We start from the raw sequence: 22,759 nt of genomic DNA, 5'->3' as shown, positions 1-22,759 counted from the left end.
GTATGTCAGGTGTGTCTTAAGTTGTGACAGGGCTGTATGTGCTGACAGTTTTATGAAGGGTCATTCCCCAGCCCAGCCCCCAGCGCAGGGCTGTTTTAAGACTGATAATTAGTTCATGGAGCAGAAGTGTTAACCTCAATATCTTCAAGCATCATCAGTTGGGTAAAAGTCAGTCAATAAATAAATACAGCCACTGTGTCTTGAGTATGTAAACTGTGCAGAGCACTGTGTTCCTTACTGATTAAAACCGCTACATTCAAGGTACTTCTGTGTGTATGGCCCTTCTTTGGCTTCTGGGTATTTAAAAAGAGCTCTTGGGACTCTTCTGAGGTCTTCCTGGGAGCAGAACAGTACACATGGTCTGGAATTGGGTTGCATGGAATAACTTTCAAGGAAAGCCACTGAATAAAGTGCCCTGCATTCCTGTCCATTGGATACTGATAATGCTATAAGATGATCTTTCTCTTCTTTATTTTGTTTGAGATTATTGTGACTCTCTGGCTAACTCCTACTTATCCTCAGGCCTTTTCTGAACTCACAATTCAAATTACAGCTCCCTTTGGTTCTCTTCCACAGCAGTTGTACTTACATATGTCTATTTATATAATTATGAATTTGTTTCATATTTGTCGCCCTTTACATGGTAAACTTAATGAATTTTGGGGCTCCATCTGTTTTGCTCACCACTTGATCCTTGGCATGTAGCACACAATGGCTGCTCAATACCTATTTACTGAATGAGCAAATGGACTGGACCACTTTTAGAGACTGGAGTATTTCCTTATACCATGTGAGATTGATTTTTGAGGACAGTTTACCACTGGAAGCTTTTGCAGAACTAAGGTCATTTTTACAGTATACATAACCTCTGCTGTGTTTGTTGATACTGTAAGTTTACATTTTCTTATGACTCTTTTTAAGTAGAGCACCCCTGTGTTTAGGAAAGCTAGAGCTATTGTGATGCCTTTGAGTTTGCTTGGCTGATTGCTGGGACTTGAACTACTGAGCTTATCTAAAAGCCTCAGAGGCCTTGTAGCCTCTGTCTTTTAGAGAGTGTAGGTAAAGGCTTGTTTTCCCTCAAATCGCTTATCTCTGATCATAAGAACCATGGCTCTAATGTTTGTCTATAGAAAATAGAATGTTTTGGCCGGGCGCAGTGGCTCATGCCTGTAATCCCAGCACCCTGGGAGGCCGAGGCGGGCAGATCACCTGAGGTCAGGAGTTCAAGACCAGCCTGGCCATGGTGAAACCCCGTCTCTACTAAAAATACAAAAACGTTTAGCCGGGCATGGTGGTGTGCACCTGTAATCCCAGCTACTTGGGAGGCTGAGGCAGGAGAATCGCTTGAACCTGGGAGGCAGAGGTTGCAGTGAGCTGAGATTGCGCCACTGCACTCCAGCCTGGGCAAGAAGAGTGAAACTCTGTCTCAAAAAAAAAAAAAGAAAATAGGATGTTTTTATTGGTTTGAAGCAACATAAGAAAAATAATGAGAATGTAGTGATATTTTCCTAAGACAAAATTAATTCCATGTATATTCCATCAATAAACATTCACTAAGTGTCTGTTATATGCCAGGCATGTTCTAGGTCTTGGAGATATATCAGCAAACAAAATAGGCAAAAATTCCCATGCTGTTGTATTTGTTTTCTATTACTACATAACAAATGAACACAAATTTAGTGGCTTAACAACAACACCTATTTATTATCTCTTGATTTCTGTAGGTCAGAAGCCTGAGGTTGGCTTAGCTGGATTCTCTGCCCGGAGTCTCAGCTAGTTGAAATCAAGGTGTCAGCTGGGACTGTTATCTGTGGCTCATGGTCCTCTTCTAAGCTTATTTAGGTTGTTATAGATTTCATTTACTTGCAATTGGGTTAATTGGATCATGGCTCACTGCAGCCTTGAACTCCTGGCCTCAAGTGATCCTCTCGCCATGGCCTCCAAAAGTGCTGTGAGTACTGTGCCTGGCCAGAAAGAGCTCTTTTACATTTATTTAAACACAGAGTTTTATTTTATATTACTCTAATGCACACATAAAAAAGAAAATATAAGCAAACAAAGTTGGTTAAGGTATTCTAAAAATTATTTAGGCAGTGAAAACATTAAGCCTGCCGGGTCTACAGCAAGTGATTGGAAGATGCCAATGTCTGTAAGAAACAATCTTGATTTTTTTTTTTTTTTTTTTGAGACAGTCTTACTCTGTTGCCCAGGCTGGAGTGCAGTGGTGTGATTACAGCTCACTGCAGCCTTGACCTTCTGGGCTTAAGGGATCCTCCCACCTCAGTCTCCTGAGTACTGGGACTACAGGCATGTACCCCCACACCTGGCTAATTTTTGAATATTTTTTCATTATAGAGCCAGGTTTTCGCCATGTTGCCCAGGCTGGTCTCAAACACCTAAGTTCAAGCAATCCACCTGCCTTAGCCTTGGCCTCCCAAAGTGCTGGGATTACAGGAGAGAGCTGCTGCGCCAGGCCCTTGATTTTTTAAAAGTGCATTTTAGAATGAATTATAATAATTGTTTAATAAATGTTGGAATTTGACAAATAAAAAGGTTATTTAGTGCCCCTCAATTGTTTTGAAGTGTCAGTGATCCATGAGCTTTACAGCAGATGGAAAATTTGAGAGCATAAATGATTTTTCCAGACACTTCCAATAAATATAAAATTAACAGTGGCTAATGGGGGAAAATCCTTATTTTACAGTCAGATAATGCTAATTGACATTAAGTAGTTTCTTTTTTTTTTTTTTTTTTTTTTTTTTGACGGAGTCTCACTCTGTCACCCAGGCTGGAGTGCAGTGGCACAATCTTGGCTCACTGCACCTCCACCTCCCGGGTTCAAGCAATTCTCCTGCCTCAGCCTCCTGAGTAGCTGGGATTACAGGCGCCCGCCACCATGCCTGGCTAATTTTTGTATTTTTAGTAGGGACAGGGTTTCACTATGTTGGCCAGGCTGGTCTCAAATTCCTGACCTCAGGTGATCCACTCATCTCGGCCTCCCAAAGTGCTGGGATTACAGGCATGAGCCACTGCACCTGGCCAGTAGTTTAAGCTATCTCTGTCGGCCGGGCGCGGTGGCTCACGCTTGTAATCCCAGAACTTTGGGAGGCCAAGGCGGGTGGATCACGAGGTCAGGAGATCGAGACCACAGTGAAACCCTGTCTCTACTAAAAATACAAAAAATTAGCCGGGCATGGTGGCGGGCGCCTGTAGTCCCAGCTACTCGGAGAGGCTGAGGCAGGAGAATGGCGTGAACCCAGGAGGCGGAGCTTGCAGTGAGCCGAGATTGCGCCACTGCACTCCAGCCCAGGTGACAGAGCGAGATTCCGTCTCAAAAAAAAAAAAAAAGGTATCTCTGTCATGATGAATTTTTAGTCAGTTTCTTTCACCAAAAGCCAGTGTAAGGTTGAGTGAGTTGGAGGTTGGTGAAAAGGAAGTGAGATGAAATAATGTGTCTCCTCTGTTTCATTATTCTGATTCTTCCATGGTTTTGAAATTGCCATCCCTTCATTGCTGTGGCAGACCTTTTACTGACTGAGCTTCAATGACAAGAAACATCAATTCTCCTAAAAGTAACACATTCCTGAAAATAACCGATCTCTAGACATTAAGGCATATGGGGAAGCATCTTCTCAGAACCCTTCCTAGATCTCCAGTCTTACTTGCATGCGCTTTCTCCTCACCCTCCAGCCTACAGACTTCTTCACAGCACTTCTCACCCAATGCTGAGGGACTCCCCAACTAGACTTCGCCTCCTTAACAGTAGAATGGATGGCTTCTTTGCTTTTTATTCCTACACAGCATTCCTTGCTTTTGCATGTCCTCAATAGAAGTTTGTTAATAACTGAATGGATCGTCTCTTAAAGAAGAGAGGAGGAAAAATTGAAATATGTGAAAGAAGATGCATGGTTTGTGAATTAGAAGCAACCAAGGGTAGACACTGCCAGGTTACTGATATCCACAGTAAAGTTGGTTAGGGTACTTTAAAGAGTAGGATAGCAAAAGATAGATATTTGGCAAGAGATTTTGGCATTTAATGGGTACTACAGGGGAAAATGTTATCAACAATTGCTTATAAGACTGATTTTGGCGCTTATGTTTTGTGTTCCTTCAGGGTTTTTTTGTTTGTTTGTTTTTAATGAATCCACTCAACAAACATTTAAGCCCCTTTGATGTGCTAACTACTGTTTAGGTACAAAAGAATGAAGTGTAGACAAACAAGTGAGTAGAAATCCTTCTTTTCTAACAAGATCCCAGCTGTTAGTTGGTTGGCTAATGAAGAAAGCTGGTTAGAGCAGAAAATCATCTGTTTTAGTCTATTCCAGCAGCTATAACAAAATACCATAAACTAGGTGGCTTATAAACAGCAGAAATTTATTTCTGGCAGTTCTGGAGGCTGGGAAGTGCAAGATCAAGGTGCAGGCAGATTCAGTGTCTGGTGAGGGTTCACTTTCTGGTTCATAGATGGTCCGCCTCATTGTGACTTCACATGGTGGAAGGGGAGAGGGTTCTCTCTTGGACAGCAATCCATTAATGTGGGCTCCACCCTCATGACCTAGTCACCTTCCAAAAGCCCTATACCTCCTAATACCATCACTGTGGGGGTTAAAATTTCAACATATACATTTGGGGAAGACAAAGACATTTGGATCCTAGCAATTATACAGACATATTTTAACATAAGAAGACATAATCATCCTTTGAGTGGAAATGGCCAGGAAAAAAAAAAAGAAAAAAAATTTAAGGAAATGACAAGCATTTGTTAAAGGATAATTTCTTTTCTTTAATACGGAGCAAGTGTTTGTGGATAATCTGTCCACAATCCTTTTAGAAGTTTTCTAGTTATATTTCATTCATTTCATTCAACATTTAGGTCAATGGTTATTTATTTATTTATTTTTAAACTCACTGAGTCCTCCAAAATATTCAGCATAGCTTTTGGAGGAATAATCACATCTTTCATTTTCTATTCATATTTCATCAGTTTATGTAATAAAGACAAGAATAACTCACTACAGTTCAAGAAAATTCAGAATTATAGTTGGTAGATTATGAGTCCACTGACTATAGTTCTGAATTTTCTTTCTTATGTAAGTTATGTGTCTTATTTAGAATTTCTAGTCTCTTTTCTTTAATGTGGAGCAAGGATTTGTGGATAGTCTGTACATAATCCTTTTAGAAGTTTTCCAGTTATATTTCATTCATCCCATCAACATTTAGGTCAATAGCTATTTTTTTTAAAAACTACTCACTTTTACTGAGTCCTCCAAAATATTCAGCATAGCTTTTGGAAAATAATCACCTTTCATTTTCTATTCATATTTCATCAGTTTATGTTACAAAGACAAGAATAAATGGCGTAAACATATTTGGGAAAAAACAAAATGATCTTGGTAAGATTCAGTTCAATTGGTAAGAGCAGAGGTACTTGGACATACTAGAGAGCCTAGTAGTATTTAGTGGTAACGTTGATGGGGCAATAGCAATGGAGAGTGTCCTGTAATCTAGTGAGTGGTTTAGGCAGAGGTCAGTTATAAGAGTTTCTATTGTATTCAACAACATAGATAAATAAGTGCCATATAAATATGGCTTTATGCCCAAATTCAAGAAGGGGCTATTAATTCTTCCTGGGGTGTTATGAAAGAGTCACAGCTGCTATTTTTACAGCAGATTTCTAACCTCTCAAAGGAATGTATTAATAAAAATAGCCAACATTTCTTAAACTCTCATTATGTACAGGCATTATTCTAAGCATCTGACATGGATTAACTCATTTAATCTTTCCAACAATCCAAAGAAGAAATTTCTATAATATTTCCATTTTACAGATGAGGTAATGAGGCACGGAGAAGTTAAAGTGACTTGCCCAGAGTCACAGAGCTAAGAAATATAAATGGTATAGTGGAATTAGAACCCAGTCCATCTTGATTCCACAGCCAGAACATGGCTGATAAATATCTGAAATCCTTCCAGCACCAAATGATTCCTTTTCTTACAGAGAATGGCAGGCTGTTTATTGTAATGGAATATTGTGATGGAGGGGATCTCATGAAAAGGATCAATAGACAACGGGGTGTGTTATTTAGTGAAGATCAGGTAAAAACTTCTAATTTGCTTTTTAATTTTATGTATGTGTGGTGGGGGGAGAATTAAATTTATAATGTCATAAGTAGTAGACTATGTTGATATAAAGCATGTGTTTTGGTAGACAGATTGAAACCATAAAATAGTGGATCAATATTCTTGGTAGATTCAGTCCAGAACAAGTTTGCAATTGAACTTAAACTGAATTGTTTTTTAGAGAGTGAGATTTTCTTGAGAAAAGATAATCTGTTTGGAAAATCTCATGTAGGATGCCTCTGAGATAAGTCTTCATGGTTAAAAAAAAATCTGAATGTGAGTGTTCCTTAGCCATTTAACATGTAACATATTTATAGCTTCACTGTTTTCTCTTTTACCATTTGGTGCTCTGTTTTAAACTAGATATCCCACTTTGCTAGGGAGGATAGAAGCTTGTCTTGGCAATGCCTATTTAGTTTCATTGGTTATTAAGAGGGGGAGATAAAAGATGAAGAATAATGGCCTCTCCCACTTTCTCTTTGCACAAATGTATTTCTCTTCTATACTCCAAGCCTCCCTGGAACTCTCTTGGGAGTGGTACTCATGAAGGAGACAGGTTTGTATGTGTGGAGAGGAATCTGAATTAGCTCCTTTATGATTGATGGTAAGGCCATTGCCTCAAGAAGCACACAGGAAAGGCCCACCATCTTTCCTTTGGCCATTGTTTCTTTGTTCTATTTTAGCATGTAAGAGCATCATGCCCATATAATTTCCTCTTAAAGTTGAATATTTTGAATATATGAAGGATTAAAAAATCAATATCTCTAACTTCTGTAAGATTAATCAAGCATTCTTTGTATGCTCATTTATATTATATATTAAATTCCATATTGATAGAAACTCTTTTTTCTTATCTAGGTATTATTTTGCCACATTTTATAAAAATGCTTCTCATGACAAAATTTTGAGTTACATTTCTTTTTGTTGGGAATGAACTAAAATTACAACTGAATATTAATGTCTGGAATATAGCTTTATTCCTATTATTTTCCTCTTTCTGTATAATTTGGCAGACAAAGAACCAGTGAAATTTTAGAATAGTTTAAATAAATCTCTGTAGGCATAGAACACATTTTCATAAAGAGGCTCATGGTCAACAAAGATAAAATCAAATCATGACTTAGAAATAAAACTAAACTTCAAAGGTAAAGTATTTGTTGGTTTTATATTAGATATACTGATATTTTATTACAATTCCTAACCTCACAGATCCCCCATTTCTTCCTCTTTCTCTCCCCACCCTTGTCACCCTCCTTCCACTGTAAAGGAAGAACCAATGGCTTCCAGGTTATCAGGAAACAGGGCTGCTTGTGTACTATTCACGATGCAGTTAGCACCCCAGGGTTAAGTAGGAAAAAAAGAAAAACATGAACGGCATGCCTCTTTCCCTTGCTTCTACTTATCTTTTTCTGCATGTGGAATTTCCCTTGATTTTACCAGTGATATTTGGATTACTTTTCTGTGCCTCCATTTTTTTAGTTGTAGAATGAAAATAATAATATGATAAAGTGTACCTATTAACTTCATTCCTATAAATACACATACACTATATGTGTGTATGTGTGTGTGTGTGTGTGTATAATTTCTATCTTTTTGCATGTTACCATGAAGACATTTCAGTGACTACCAGGCTATTCAGTGGCTTTGTTTTGTGTTCTCTCTATAGATCCTCGGTTGGTTTGTACAGATTTCTCTAGGACTAAAACATATTCATGACAGGAAGATATTACACAGGGACATAAAAGCTCAGGTAACAGCTCAGAGAGAAGACTAAGACAGAACTGATCTTTTCTTGAAGTACCTCAAACAACATGACATTTTCTCCATTTATAGAACATTTTTCTTAGCAAGAACGGAATGGTGGCAAAGCTTGGGGACTTTGGTATAGCAAGAGTCCTGAATAAGTAAGTACTTTGAAAATAATTTTTCTTTCTAGTCAAAATAGCCCAAATATGTATTTTTAGATATCATGGATTAAGAAGATATTAAAATCTTGGTTGTCTAAATAATTTTAGGTAGCTTTATGTAAATGCATTACATCAGATGGTACTTTGAGATTAAAATTCTCAAGATAAATTGTGGTGTAATAGAATGATGTTGCTAATATTCTGTAGTGTGATTCCAGTTTCTCAAATATGGATGTGACTGTAATATGCATAAAGCTAGAGAGAATTTCGTGAAATAGGCAGGTTTACACTTCTTAATGAAAAAAGTCAAACTCTATAAAATATTTGAAGAGATTTATTCTGAGCCAAATACGAGTGACCAAAGGTCCATGCCTGTGACATAGCCCTCAGGAGATCCTAAGAACATGTACCCAAGGTGGCCGGTCTACAACCTGGTTTTGTACATTTTAGGGAGATGCAAGACATCAATTAGATGTACATGGGTTTGGTCCAGAAAAGCAGGACAACTCAAAGCTGGGAAGAATGGGAGGGAGCTTCCAGGTCATAGGTAGATTAAAAACTTTTCTGATTGGCAATTGATTGAAAGAGTCTATCTGAAGACCTGGAATTAGTGGAAGGGAGTGTCTGGGTTAAGATAAGGGGTTGTGGAAATGAAGGTTTTTATTATGCAGATGAAATCTCCAAGTAGCAGGCCTCAGAGAGAATAGATTGTAAATATTTCCTCTTATCGGATTTAAAAAGGTGCCAGACTCTTAGTTAACTTTTTCCTGGATCAGGAAAAAGCCTTGGAAAAAGAAGGGAATTTTCTTCAGAATGTAGATTTTCCCCACAAGAGATACCTTTGCAGGACTATTTCAAGATATGGACAAAGAAACATGATTTGGGGTAAAATATTTTGATTCCTTTCAGGCCTGCTATCTGTCATGTGATGTTATACTAGAGTCAGGCTGGACTTTGGTATCTTATTGCTACAAGGAGTCTGCTTTGTCAGTCTTAAGGTCTGTTTTAATGTTAATGCTGGTCAACTGTGCCTGAATTCCAAAGGGGAGGAGGAGTTAATGAGGCATATCAGACCCTGCTTCCCATCATGGCCTGAACTAGTTTTTCAGGTTAACTTTGGAATGTCCTTGGCCAAAGGGAGGGTTTATGAGTTGGTTGGGGGGCTTAGAATTTTATTTTTGGTTTACACACTTTCTAGCAAAATAAATTTGTGCACCTGTTTGGAAGACAATTTGGTGGCAATATGTACCAAGAGATTTTTAAATATCCTGTTTCTGGGACTTCTTCCAAGGGAATAATTTGAAATTTGGAATAACGTAAATGCCTAAATAATTGGGAAATGGTTAAATTTAATAAAGCTTGGCATGGCCATGGCCATGTACCTGAATATATCATAAACATTTATGGTTTTGAAGACTTCTTGATAACTTTGTTATACTAAGCAAAGAAAATGGAATTCTGAATTTTAAATACATTGTGATCACGGTTATATGAAAAATATGTGTGGAAAGAAGACAGGAAGGAAATATATCAGAATTTTAACAATAGTTGTTTTAGGTGCTAAGATTCTGGGTAACTTTTTTCTCCCTTATTCATTTTTGTATTTTCCAAGTTTTAAATCATGAGGTTGCAATTTGATAATCTCTACATCTGAGAGATTTTTATAACATGACAATTTCATCTCTTTGTGGAGTCTTTAAGCCATAAAAAATATATTTTAATGTGTAAATTTTTGGGAGGTGAATTGTAAGTTTAAAAATCAGCTGATTTAGTTACTTTATCAACATACAGTGTTTTGCTTTCTTCTAACACATGTATGCATCAAATCTTGTGTTATCCATTTTCACATTTTTTCTTGCATGTCCATGTCTTAAGACTTTTCTTACTCCAATAAAAAATCATGCTGATTTATTATTTAATATAATTTACTAGTTCCATGGAACTTGCTCGAACTTGTATTGGAACACCTTACTACCTGTCCCCAGAGATCTGTCAGAATAAACCCTACAACAATAAAACGTAAGTTGCTGACTCTTAGTTTGAAAGTGTCAGTAAAATCTGATGGATGACACTGAATGAAGATTCCAGAAACTAAAATTCAAATCTCTTCTTTCTTTCTTATGGTACTTTTGTAATTTCATTTGCTTCATGTGTGAAATTGTTCTGGACCAAACTGAGGGTTGGGTTGCTATTTCTCGCGGTCCAATACGAGATGCAGATGAACTGGGGAGGAAGAGAGTTTTTATTTCTGTAACCAGTACAGGGAGAAGGCCTGGAAATTATCACCAGACCGACTCAAAATTACAAAGTTTTTCAGAGCTTATACACCTTCTAAGCTATATGTCTATGTGTAAGTGTGCATTCATTTAAAGACATACTGATTAACTCCTTTTAATCTATAACTAAGGTCTGAGTCCTGAAGACTTTCTTCTGGAGCCTCAGTAAGCTTACTTAATCTAAATGGGTCTAGGTCCTGGGGTGATTACCCTTATTTTGTCTCCTGCTAAATCATGGAGGTTTAGGGAGTTCCTGCAGACCTCCAATAAACTTGTTTGTGGAGGCCTGGGGAGTTTCTTCAGACCACCAATAAAACTTGTTTAATCTTAAAAGGCTCCTTGTTAAGAATTCCTTCATTATTTTGTCATGGTTTAAGGCCCAGGAAAGGCCTAGGCAAAACTCTTGGTGGGCTTTTGTTACATTACAGCCTTTGTATAAGGGCACTGGCTTTTTTTTTTTTATTTTTTGAGATAGAGTCTTGCTCTTGTCACCCAGGCTAGAGTGCAATGGCACGATCTCGGCTCACTGCAACCTCCACCTCCCAGGTTCAAGCGATTCTCCTGCCTCAGCCTCCTGAGTATCTGGGATTACAGGTGGCTGCCACCATGCCCAGCTAAAGTTTTGTGTTTTTAGTAGAGATGGAGTTTCACCATGTTGTCCAGGCTGGTCTCAAACTCCTGACCTCACGATCTGCCTGCCTCAGCCTCCCAAAGTGTTGAGATTACAGGTGTGAGCCACTGTGCCTGGCTGGGCACTGGCTTTTTTAGCTTTTAATATTTAACTTCACCACTCAGTATAGAAACAGTTGTGATGGAGGCCTGCATTGGTAAGACCTGGCCTGCCACAAAATGGGGATCCCAGTGACTATCTCTGAGCAGTGTTACCTGAAGGTTTCAAACTTGTTTAGAAGAAAGCCATTTCTCTTCATTTAAAGATACAAGTGGTATAAAAAATAACATCGAAAATTGCAGTCACTGTGATGTCCATTTTTGTATTATATGTTCATATCTTTGAAGCACTGTTTAGTCTATTGCAAGAAAGATTGAAGAGGATGAAGTAGAAGACAATGTGGTCTGGTGACCGCTCACTGGATTAGGAGCTAGGAATCCTAGTCTTGGCTCAGTTGCTAACTTGACCAAGTCAGTTGACCTCTGTGGGCTTCAGTTCCCTAACTCATAATAATGAGAGTATTGACTAGGTAATCTTCAAGGTGTCTTCCAGCTTTAAAACCCAGTTAGTTTTTATGTATGTGATATCAGAGTCTGGTTCTCAGCAATAATTTTTTTTTTTTTTGAGATGGAGTCTGGCTCTGTCATCCAGGCTGGAGTGCAGTGGTGTGATCTCGGCTCACTGCAATCTCTGCCTCCCAGGTTCAAGCAATTCTCGTGCCTCAGTCTCCCAAGTACCTGGGACTGCAAGCACGCCCCACCATGCCCAGCTAATATTTTGTATTTTTAGTAGAGATGGGGTTTCACCATGTTGGTCGGGCTGGTCTTGAATTCTTGACCTCAGGTGATCTGCCCGCCTCAGCCTCTCAAAGTGCTGGGATTGCAGGTGTGAGCCACCGCACCTGGCCCTCAGCAGTAATGCTAATGTATACTGCAAGAAAAGGTGAAGAGGAGCTTTTGCTTCCTATAAGGAGAAGGAAAAAAATTTCATTTTTCAAAGCTGGCTGCCATTGAACAAGTTGGCGATAAGGAAGATTGAGTTCCCTTTGGAAGTTAATTGTCCTTTTGTTTAGGAAAAAATGCCCAAGAGATACTTGGCTATTGGACTTTGAAGGAGATAAATGGAAGGCAAAGCTCAGACAATAGAGATTTACAAAAAGAATAGTAAGAATTTCTCTGCATAATAAAATAACAGGGATTTTTTTTTTTTTTGAGACATCCCCTGGCACCAAGGAGTTTGGCCTCAAGTTAGTTGTGCAGGAATTCAGGTAGGGTGTGTTGGACGGAAAGTAGGCTGTTCAGAGCAGGGCATGCCACAGACAGCCTTGGGTCAGCTGCATTGTTTTGTTTGCTTGTACTGCTTTTCAAGAATTTGAATCAACATTTAAATGCTGCTGGATATGGTGGCTCATGCCTATAATCCCAGCACTTTGGGAGGCTGAGGGGGATGATTGCTTGAGTCCAGGGGTTCAAGACCAACCTGGACAACATTGTGAGACCCTGTCACTACATCCAAAAAAAAATTAAATATTGAAAGACTTTAAAATATGCATAGTTTGTACCTCTGAAAATTGGAAGATCTTAGCAATAATCAGGTGGGTAGCCGCTGGCTCCATTAGAGGACTGGTTCACCACAGTCCTCAATATGCAGAGTGGTCTCAGGCCTGCAACTGGCCCCACCCAACCCCCAGGTGGCTGCAGTACTGCCTGAGCCCTGGGGGCATATGAATTCTCTGCCCTGGCTGCAGAGGGTCCTCTGGGAACAGAAGAGAAGTTTGGGTCTGTGGAAGCCCTAGTAAAGACAAAAGTCTGTGTGGTGTGAAATGGTCAGTGAGTTTCTAGAAGGTCTAGAAAGTTCATGTTTGTTTCCTGGGTCAGGTGCAGGCGGCTCACACCTGTAATCCCAGCACTTTGGGAGGCCAAGAAGGGAGTATTGCTTGAGCTCAAGAGTTTGAGACCAGCCTGAGCAACATGGTGAAACCTTGTTAATGAAAAAAAAAATTATTAAAAAAAATCCCACAAATTTGTTTCCCACCAATCTTACCGTCTATTGTACTTACTACCATCTTTTGTACTCAAACTTTTAGTATGAGTCTATCTCTCTCTCCTTCTCTCTGACACACACACACACACACACACACACACACACACACTCATGCACAAAGCATTGCTGCTAGAGGAGCCATTTACCTCACTCCTCACTTTAATGATTCCTTCTTGCTTTGACTCCTTGACTTCTGATTAGACATTTTTTGATCTTTTAGATTTAATTGTGCTTTTTGTTCTATAAAATAACTCCTCAAACCAATCACATATAAATATTTATGAAGTACTAAATCTGTAAGGAGCAAAGCTCATGATATATATTTTAAGTATATTTTTAAATGTTTATTGAGAATCAGATACTATGTTTATCACATAATATAACTTTGGTTCTGTCAAAAGCCTTGAGTAGGATATATCTTTCAAAATCAACCAAATATTACCTTTTGAGTCAAAACAAATCCATGTTTGAGTTCTGCCTGCCTCCTCCAAATTGCTCAACATTTCATCATACATACATTGTTTTTGAGCAGGAAGCTGAACTAAATATTAAGCCACCAGGTTGTAGCAAAGTTTGTGTGCCTTTCTTTGACTAGAAATCTGACAAACTACAAATGGTTTTCATTTTACCTCTTATCTTCTAATAAGAATTGATGATATATCTGAAAGCATTTGTAAAAGCTGATCAACTTACATAAAATTGTAAAGCGACACAAATTTAAGGCACTGTAAGGATAAAAGCTTTTATTAAGAATTATGGATATTTTCTTGGCATGTAAACTCTTATCTTCTTTAGGGATATTTGGTCTCTTGGCTGTGTCTTATATGAGCTCTGCACACTTAAACATCCTGTAAGTATGCTCATTGTCAGACTAATCTTGAATTATTGGAATTGTAGAAAAGAAATTAACTTCTGGGAGAAAAAGGTTAATGTTTGGTTTTATTAGATTGTTAAAAATTATATGGATAAGCTACTTAAAATAATGATAGATGACATGGAAAGCTGTCCAAGCAATATTATAAAGTAAAAAGTCCAAGTTGGAGAATAGTATGTGTAGCATATTTCCATTAAAAATAAATTGTGTGGGCTTGGCGTGGTGGCTCATGCCTGTAATCCCAGCACTTTGGGAGGCTGAGGCGGGTGGATCACTTGAGGTCAGGAGTTGGAGACCAACCTGGCCAACATGATGGTGACACCCCGTCTCTACTAAAAATACAAAAATTAGCCAGGCATGGTGGCATGTGCCTGCAGTCCCAGCTAGTTGGGAGGCTGAGGCACGAGAATTGCTAGAACCCAGGAGGCAGAGGCTGCAGTCAGCTGAGATTGCGCCACTGCACTCCAGCCTGGGTGACAGCGAGACTCCATCTAAAAAAAATAATTAATTAATTAATTACTGTATGAATAGATACGTTCAGCAAAAGAAAAATGTACATGGGCAAAGTTCATAGGAAACCAGGCACAAGCTTTTAAGAGTCTTTTCCCAGAGGTCACATGGGATGTGCCAAATCCTCCAGCATTGTTACCCACGTCACCTGTGAAATGTGATCTATAAGAAAGCTCATCGGATATACCCAGTGCCCAGGATTTTTACTGGGGACTGGTCACATAGGCACCCTCTACCTGGCATATGCCAAACTTCCAGACTCCTGGAAAGAAAGCCCGTGTTCAGCATAAACCATTTTGTTCACATAAATAGCTGAGGCAAAGATAGCCACTCTTGACATTCAGGGAATGGTGGGAATTCTTCTGAAATCTTAGTTCCCAGACACCAGCCACGGGCCAACATTGTAAGCAGGCCTTTCTGAGGAGAGCTTGCTACATCAACTCTTTTCTCCACAGCTGTCATCATTGTTATTAATTATTGTCAAGGGTTGCACAGCCAGTGTCTGACCAAAATGTGTACTCCATTGTTTTTTTGAGATGGAGTCCCGCTCTGTTGCCCAGACTGGAGTGCGGTGGCACGATCTCAGCTCACTGCAACCTCTGACTCCTGGGTACAAGCAATTCTCTTGCCTCAGCCTCCCGAGGAGCTGGGATTACAGGCACCCACCACCACACCCGGCTAATTTTTTTGTATTTTTAGTAGAGTCAGGGTTTTGCCATGTTGGCCAGGTTGGTCTTGAACTCCTGACCTTGGGTGATCTGCCCACCTTGGCCTCCCAGAGTGCTGGGATTACAGGCGTGAGCCACCATGCCCGGCCAATGTGTACCTTTATTGCTACACCATGGAGTTGAATATTATTATGTATAAATAACTATTGGTTTCATACAATAGAAGATTTCTGGTCTATGAAGCATTTTAGAGGAAATTAAACGATGTTTATGTTAATTTTAAAAAGCAAGAGATAAAATTTCATATCAATATGACCTCAACTTTGTAAAATAAACATCATTTTTAAAAGAGATCAGAAGGAGCTATACCTCTGAGTGGTAAAATTATACATATTTTCCCCTGTCTTTATAACTTCCTATACCTTCCAGTTTTTTTATTATGAGTAAACATTATTTTGATAATAAGACAGAATTAAAACAAAATAAAAACTTGTTTTAAATAACATGGCATCTTGTTGAATAACTGCAGTATCTGCTCATGAAAGATTAGTTGATGAAAACAATTTAAGGTGGACCACAGTGCTTCTTTTTTATTTTTTGATTGAGACAGGGTCTCACTCTGTCACCCAGGCTGGAGTGCAGTGACGCAATCACGGCTTACTGCAGCTTTGACCGCCTGGGCTTAGACAATCCTCTTGCCTCAGCCTCCCAAGTAGCTGGGACCACAGGCTCATGCCACCAAGCCCAGCAAATGTTTAAAAACCATGATTTGGAGAGATGAGGTCTAACTATGTTTCCCAGGCTGGTCTTGAACTCCTGGGCTCAAGTGATCCTCCTGCCTTGGCCTCCCAAATTGCTGGGATTACAGGTGACCCTAGTGCTTCTAACTACAATTTAAAAACATTGTTTTGCTTCTTGGTATATTTGTTACTTTAACACTTTTATTATTTGTTACTTTAGTAACTTTTCTCTGATTTAGTGTCATTTCTCCTTGTCCTTTCAGTTTGAGGGTAACAACTTACAGCAGCTGGTTCTGAAGATTTGTCAAGCACATTTTGCCCCAATATCTCCGGGGTTTTCTCGTGAGCTCCATTCCTTGATATCTCAGCTCTTTCAAGTATCTCCTCGAGACCGACCATCCATAAATTCCATTTTGAAAAGGCCCTTTTTAGAGAATCTTATTCCCAAATATTTGACTCCTGAGGTAAGTTTTGAGGTGACTGTTTGGATTTTGGCAGAGATTTTGGGTTGCAGGTCCTTGACACGTGTGTTCGGTTTTAGGTCATTCAGGAAGAATTCAGTCACATGCTTATATGCAGAGCAGGAGCGCCAGCTTCTCGACATGCTGGGAAGGTGGTCCAGAGTAAGTGTGACTTTGGCATGCAATCAAAAGTATTTATTACACATGTCTCACACAGAGAGTAATGCAAGGAAATTTCACCAAACATATTGAAAGTGGACATTTTAAAAAATACAAGCAGTATAAGCAGGAGAAAAATCATCTTGTCAAATGGCAACTAGTGAGTGTGCCTGAAAGTTGTATATCTAGCTCATGCATGACCTGCAGGGTTCCTTCTCGTTAGTCAGGAAACCTCCATGAAGCAGAGGACATGCTAATAGAGATGCTTGAAGAGGTTGAGCCCAAACTTAACTTTTGTGTAGTGAAGGGACAGAGTGGGAGAAGGTTGCAGATAGACATGGATGATGAGATGAAACTTATTTTTCTAAAAGAGGATAGACTGGCAATTAAGAATTCTGTTGCAAAGGACCATTGGAGCTGAAGTTAGGATCTTGGGGCCTAATTGATAACAGTAAGAACTGTTACTTTGTGGTTCCCAAAGAAGGCAGGAGATATTTTATGGTAGTAATAAATACAGAAAACTTTTTTTTTTTTCCGAGACGGAGTCTCGCTCTGTCGCCCAGGCTGGAGTGCAATGGCGCGATCTCTGCTCACTGCAAACTCCACCTCCCGGGTTCATGCCATTCTCCTGCCTCAGCCTCCCGAGTAGCTGGGACTACAGCCGCCCATCACCACTCCCGGCTAATTTTTTGTATTTTTTTAGTAGAGACGAGGTTTCACTGTGTTAGCTAGGATGGTCTCGATCTCCGGACCTCGTGATCCGCCCGCCTCTGCCTCCCAAAGTGCTGGGATTACAGGCGTGAGCCACCGCGCCAGGCCGGAGAAAACTATTTTAGTCCTGGTGTCAAGAATCAGCTAAGCTGTGTGTCAGAGGGAGGGGTACGTTAAGAAAGAGAAAATTACTAATTCATTTGATGCTGTGAAAGTCAAAGCCCCAGAATTTAGCTGTAACTGAATGCCTGGACTTACAATATCAGGAGGAGCAGAAAGCCTCTCAAAGGAATCCATGACAGGGAAATGTTATCCATTGAGACAGAGATTCTAAAATCAAGGAAAGTTAAAGAGAAAGTGAATGAGCCTCTTTGCCATTTAATTTGACTAACATTGTTGTATACCAGTCTAGATTGAGAATGTTTAGAAAATAGACAAGTACAGAGTATGGGACTGTGTATTGTCCATATTTCTAATCTAGGTAAGATAGGAGAACAAGAACAATTTTTTTTTTATTGAGATGGGGTCTCACTGTGTTGCCCAGGCTGGTCTCGAACTCCTGAGCTCAAACAATCCTCCTACCTTGGCCTCCCAAATTGCTGGGATTACAGGTGCGAGCCACCTTACTCAGCCCAAGAACAAATTTTGATGGAGATAAAGACAAGCATTAGAAGATCTACTCATACCTCAGTCCTGGCACTTTGGGAGGCCAAGGAGGGCAGGTCACCGGAGGCCAGGAGTTTGATGCCAGTCTGGCCAACATGGCCAAACCATGTCTTTACTAAAAATACAAAAATTAGCTGGACCTGGTGGCCCATGCCTGTAATCCCAGCTCCTTGGGTGGCTGAGGCACAAGAATCGCATGAACTCGGGAGGTGAAGGTTGCAGTGAGCTCAGACCCTGCCACTGCACCGTAGCCCGGGTGACAGAGTGAGACTGTCTCAACAAAAAAAAAAGAGAGAAGATCTACTCATAAATTCCAAACAATGTGGCATGAATGGAGTGGCCTGATAACCCAAGCTCTAATGACCAAATTTAATAACTTTTATTATTACCCCATACATATTGTTTCTGTAAATGTTAATATTAATTTCTATTTTTCTGAAAAAAAGTGATGTTATATATTACTAGAAATATGCAAAGGGACTCTGAAAAAATGGTTTTTTTCATTTAAAGAAATTGCATATTAATTTTTCATCAGTACTCTCACTGTGTGTAAAATATCTCTGGCTAAAAAGTAAACTTACTGTGTTATGAAATGTAGCTTATGTTTATACTCTTACAAGTATCAGTATTAATGGTGTACAATTTTTAAAAAATTGAAGCTGTTTTATTTTGGTTAATTAAGAGTGTAAAATACAAAAAGTGAGATTCCAGGGAAAGTGCCCACCAAGATCAAGGATATCTGTGCCAATTAAAAGGAATGCTATATTGCATAGAAATGAATGGAGACCACCAGCTGGAGCCCAGAAGGCCAGATCTGTAAGTCATTCTAAACCCTCCTTTGTGTTTTTTAGCTATGGTATATGCTTTTTGTTTGTTTGTTTGTTTGTTTTGAGACGGAGTCTCGCTCTGTCGCCAGGCTGGAGTGCAGTGGCGCGATCTCGGCTCACCGCAAACTCCACCTCCCGGGTTCAAGCAATTCTTCTGCCCCAGCCTCCTGAGTAGCTGGGACTACAGACGTGTGCCACTATGCCCAGCTAATTTTTGTATTTTTGGTAGAGATGGGGTTTCACCATATTGGCCAGAATGGTCTCCATCTCTTGACCTCGTGATCCACCTGCCTGGGCCTCCCAAAGTGCTGGGATTACAGGTGTGAGCCATGGCGCCCGGCCCCGGCTAATTTTTATACTTTTAGTAGAGACAGGGTTTCACCATGTTGGTCAGACTGGTCTCGAACTCCTGACCTTGCGATCAGCCTGCCTCGGCCTCCCAAAGTGCTGGTATTACAAGCATAAGCCACTGCACCCAGCTGTTATATTCTTTTTCTTTAATTTTTTAATTAAAAAAAAAATTTTTGTGGGTACATAGTAAGTGTATATATTTATGGGGTATATGAGATGTTTTGATACAGGCAAGCAATGTGAAATAAGCACATCATGGAGAATAGGGTGTTTGTCCCCTCAAGTATTTATCCTTTGAGTTACAAACAACCCAGTTATACTCTGTAACTTATTTCAAAATGTACAATTAAGTTACTATTGACCATAGGCAGTCTATTGTGCTATCAAATAGTAGGTCTTATTCATTCTTTTGTTTTTTTAACCCATTAAGCTATGGTATATTCTGACAGACCTATCTGCACATGTTCATGAGGTACAAGCTTATTGTTTGGAGTCCACAAATTTTGTACTTAAAATGAAGTATTCTGTACTGAGCATTATAATGGTATTTTGTTGGACAACTTCTAGTTTTTATATTTTATGAAACAATGCTGTATGCTCTTATAAGTATACTTTAGGCTTAATTTTCTTTTTATAACTGAAATTCTTCTAATTTCTAATAAATAAGATTTTTCTGTATAGGAAAAGTGAGTAACATAGCAACAGAAAACACTCTGCATTTAATATTCTTAATTCTAACATATTATGTATAGGATTGAGAAGTTTTTATGATATAATAATTGATATTTCCCTAGTGATTCTTTGTGTTTAATTATTTGAATTCACTTCAGCAGAGTGTTGAATCTTTTAGGTCATACTAGTGAAATGCTTCTGGTATGTAAATGATAAAATGGCTACTGTCTTTTAATTAAAGAATTGTATTTTTAAAGAAGGCTCATGGTTAAATTAAGAACCATTTGGAAGTGTATTTACTAAGTGTTTACTTGATATATAGACATTTTAGAAAATGTGTTGGTATATAAACATTTTTTTAAAAACCGATTGTTTAAGTTATTGCCCTTCATTTGATAAAGGGCTTTATTTATTTATTTATTTATTTATTTATTTATTTATTTATTTGAAAGAGGGTCCTGCTGTGTCACCCAGGCTAGAGGGCAGTGGCATGTCTCAGCTCACTGCAGCCTGGATGTATTAGTCTGTTCTCATACTACTATAAAGAACTGCTTGAGACTGGGTAGTTGATAAAGACAAGAGGTTTAATTGGCTTACAGTTCTGCAGGCTGTACAGGATGCATTGCTGGGGAGGCCGCAGGAAACTTATAATCATGGCAGAAGGGGAAGCAGGCTCATCTTAAATGGCCAGAGCAGGAGAAAGAGAGCAAAGGGGGAGGTGCTACACACTTGTAAACAACCAGATCTCTGGAGAACTTACTATCACAAGAACAGTAAGAGGGAAATCTGTCCCCATAATCTAATCACCTTCCACCAGGCCCCTCCTCCAACATCAGGGATTACAATTCAACATGAAATTTGGGCAGGGACACAAATCCAAACCATATCATTCCACCTTTGGCCCCTCCCAATTCCCATATCCTTCTCACATTGCAAAATACAATTATCCCTTCTCAACAGTCCCCCAAGGCTTAACTCATTTCAGCATTAACTCAAAAGTCCACAATTCAAGGTCTCTCTGAGACAAGTCAAGTCCCTTCCACCTGTGAGGCTGTAAAATAAAAAACAAGTTAGTTACTTCCAAAATACAATGAGGGTACAGGCATTGGGTAAATACACCCATTTCAAAAGGGAGAAATCAGCCAAAACAAAGGGTTTATAGACCCCATGCAAATTCAAAACCTAGCAGGGCAGTCATTAAATCTTAAAGCTCCAAATTCCTTTGACCCCATGTCTCACATCCAGGGCATACTGGTGTGAGGAGTGGGCTCTCAAGGCCTTGGGCAGCTCTGCTCCTGAGGCTTTGCAGGCTACAGCCCCTGCGGCTGCTCTCACAGGCTGCTGTTGAGTGTCTGCGGCTTTTCCAGGTGCGTGGTGCAAGCTGTCGTTCAATCTACCGTTTTTGGAGTCAGGAGAATGGTGGCCCTCTTCTCACAGCTCCACTAAGCAGTGCCCCAGTGGGGACTCTGTGTGGAGGCTCCAATGCCACATTTCCCCTCTGCACTGCCCTAGTAGAGGGTCCCCCTGAAACAGGCTTCTGCCTGGACGACTAGGCTTTTCCATACATCTTCTGAGATCTTGGTGGAGGCTCCCACGCCTCAACTCTTGCACTCTGTGCATCTGCAGACTTAACACCATGTGGAAGCCACCAAGATTTACGGCTTGCACCCTCTGAAGCAATGGCCTGAGCTGTACCTTGGGCCGTTTTAACCATGGCTGGAGCTGGAGCAGCCACAATACAGGACACCATGTCCTGAGGCTGCACAGAGCAGTGGGGCCCTGGGCTTGGTCCTCAAAGCCATTCTTCCCTCCTAGGCCTCTGGGCCTGTGATGAGAGGGGCTGCCTCAAAGGTCTCTGAAATGCCTTCAAGGCATTTCCCCCATTATCTTGGCTAACAACATTTGACTCCTCTTTATTTTTGAAAATTTCTGCAGCTGGTTTGAATTGCTCCCCAGAAAATGGGTTTTTCTTTCTAGGCTGCAAACTTTCCTAACTTTTACACTCTGCTTCTCTTTTAAGTATAAGCTCTGGTTTTACATCATTTATTTGCTCACAAATATGACCATAGGGTGCTAGAGCAGCCAGGCCACATCTTGAATACTTTGTTGCTTAGAAATTTTTTCTGTCAGACGCCCTAAATCATCACTCTCAAGTTCAAAGTTCCACAGATCCCTAGGGTAGTGGCACAATGCCTCCAACCTCTTTGCTAATTCATAACAAAAGTGTCCTTTGCTGCATTTCTCAATAAGTTCCTCATCTCCATCTGAGACCTCCTTAGCCTGGACTTTATTGACCATATCACTATCAGCATTTTGGTCACTATGATTTTAAGAAGTCTCTAGGGCATTCCAAACTTTCCATCATCTTCCTATCTTCTTCTGAGCCCTCCACGCTCTTCCAACCTCCGCCCATTACCCAGTTCCAAAGTCACTTTCACATTTTCAGGTATCTTTATACAATACCCCACTCCTGGTATCAATGTACTGTGTTAGTCCATTCTCATACTGCTATAAAGAACACCTGAGACTGGGTAATTTATAAAGAAAATACATTTAATTGGCTCACAGTTCTGCAGGCTGTACAGGAAGTATGGCTGGGGAGGCCTCAGGAAATTTATAATCATAGCAGAAGGGGAGGCAGGCTCATCTTACATGCAGGAGGAAAAGAGTGAAGGGGTAGCCGCTACAAACTTTTGAACAACCAGATCTCATGAAAACTCACTCACTATCACAAGAACAGCAAGGGGGGAATCTGCCCCAACGATCCATTTACCAGGCCTCGTCTCCCAACATTGGGGATTACAGTGCAACATGAGATTGGGCAGAGACACAAATCCAAAGCATATCACTCGACCTCCCAGGCTGAGACACAAATCCAAAGCATATCACTCGACCTCCCAGGCTCAAGTGATCCTACCGTCTCAGCCTCCTGAATAGCTATACTACCGGTATGCACCATGATGCCCAGCTAGTTTTTACTTTTTGTAGAGTCAGGGTCTCACTGTGTTGCCCAGGCTGTTCTTGAATTCCTGGGCTCTAGTGATATGCCCGCCTCAGCCTCCCAAAGTGCTGGGATTATAGGCGTGAGCCACTGTGCCCAGCCT

At 40.0% G+C, this 22,759-nt stretch overlaps 1 protein-coding gene across 17 annotated transcripts in view, besides 1 other annotated feature; it reads left to right on the top strand.

Moving 5' to 3' along the window:
* Positions 1-22,759, top strand: part of NEK5 (NIMA related kinase 5) — a 95,463-nt gene that overhangs the window by 10,710 nt on the left and 61,994 nt on the right. For 16 of the 17 annotated variants that reach the window (XR_941575.3, XR_941574.3, XM_047430292.1 and 13 more), the window contains 8 exons: positions 5,999-6,096; positions 7,787-7,870; positions 7,954-8,024; positions 9,960-10,046; positions 13,812-13,866; positions 16,072-16,272; positions 16,350-16,431; positions 18,488-18,621. Coding sequence is in view for 15 of the 17 variants with exons in the window: in XM_047430292.1 (XP_047286248.1) it covers positions 5,999-6,096; positions 7,787-7,870; positions 7,954-8,024; positions 9,960-10,046; positions 13,812-13,866; positions 16,072-16,272; positions 16,350-16,431; positions 18,488-18,621 (812 nt within the window). In the remaining 2 variants the exon portion in view is untranslated. The remainder of the gene's footprint in view (positions 1-5,998; positions 6,097-7,786; positions 7,871-7,953; positions 8,025-9,959; positions 10,047-13,811; positions 13,867-16,071; positions 16,273-16,349; positions 16,432-18,487; positions 18,622-22,759) is intronic. The other variant, XM_047430295.1, reaches the window with a different exon arrangement.
* Positions 13,397-13,691: an enhancer, noted in NCBI's record as "tiled region #2352; HepG2 Activating DNase matched - State 5:Enh, and K562 Activating non-DNase unmatched - State 24:Quies". NCBI's record gives its function as "activates a minimal TATA promoter and a strong SV40 promoter by Sharpr-MPRA in HepG2 and K562 cells {active_cell/tissue: HepG2 | K562}" and the evidence as "EXISTENCE:reporter gene assay evidence [ECO:0000049][PMID:27701403]".

Source organism: Homo sapiens, chromosome 13 (assembly GCF_000001405.40).
Source record: "Homo sapiens chromosome 13, GRCh38.p14 Primary Assembly".
NCBI lineage: Eukaryota > Metazoa > Chordata > Mammalia > Primates > Hominidae > Homo > Homo sapiens.
The sequence above is the reverse complement of the archived record's forward strand: the minus strand, read 5'-3'. Positions and strand labels throughout refer to the sequence as shown.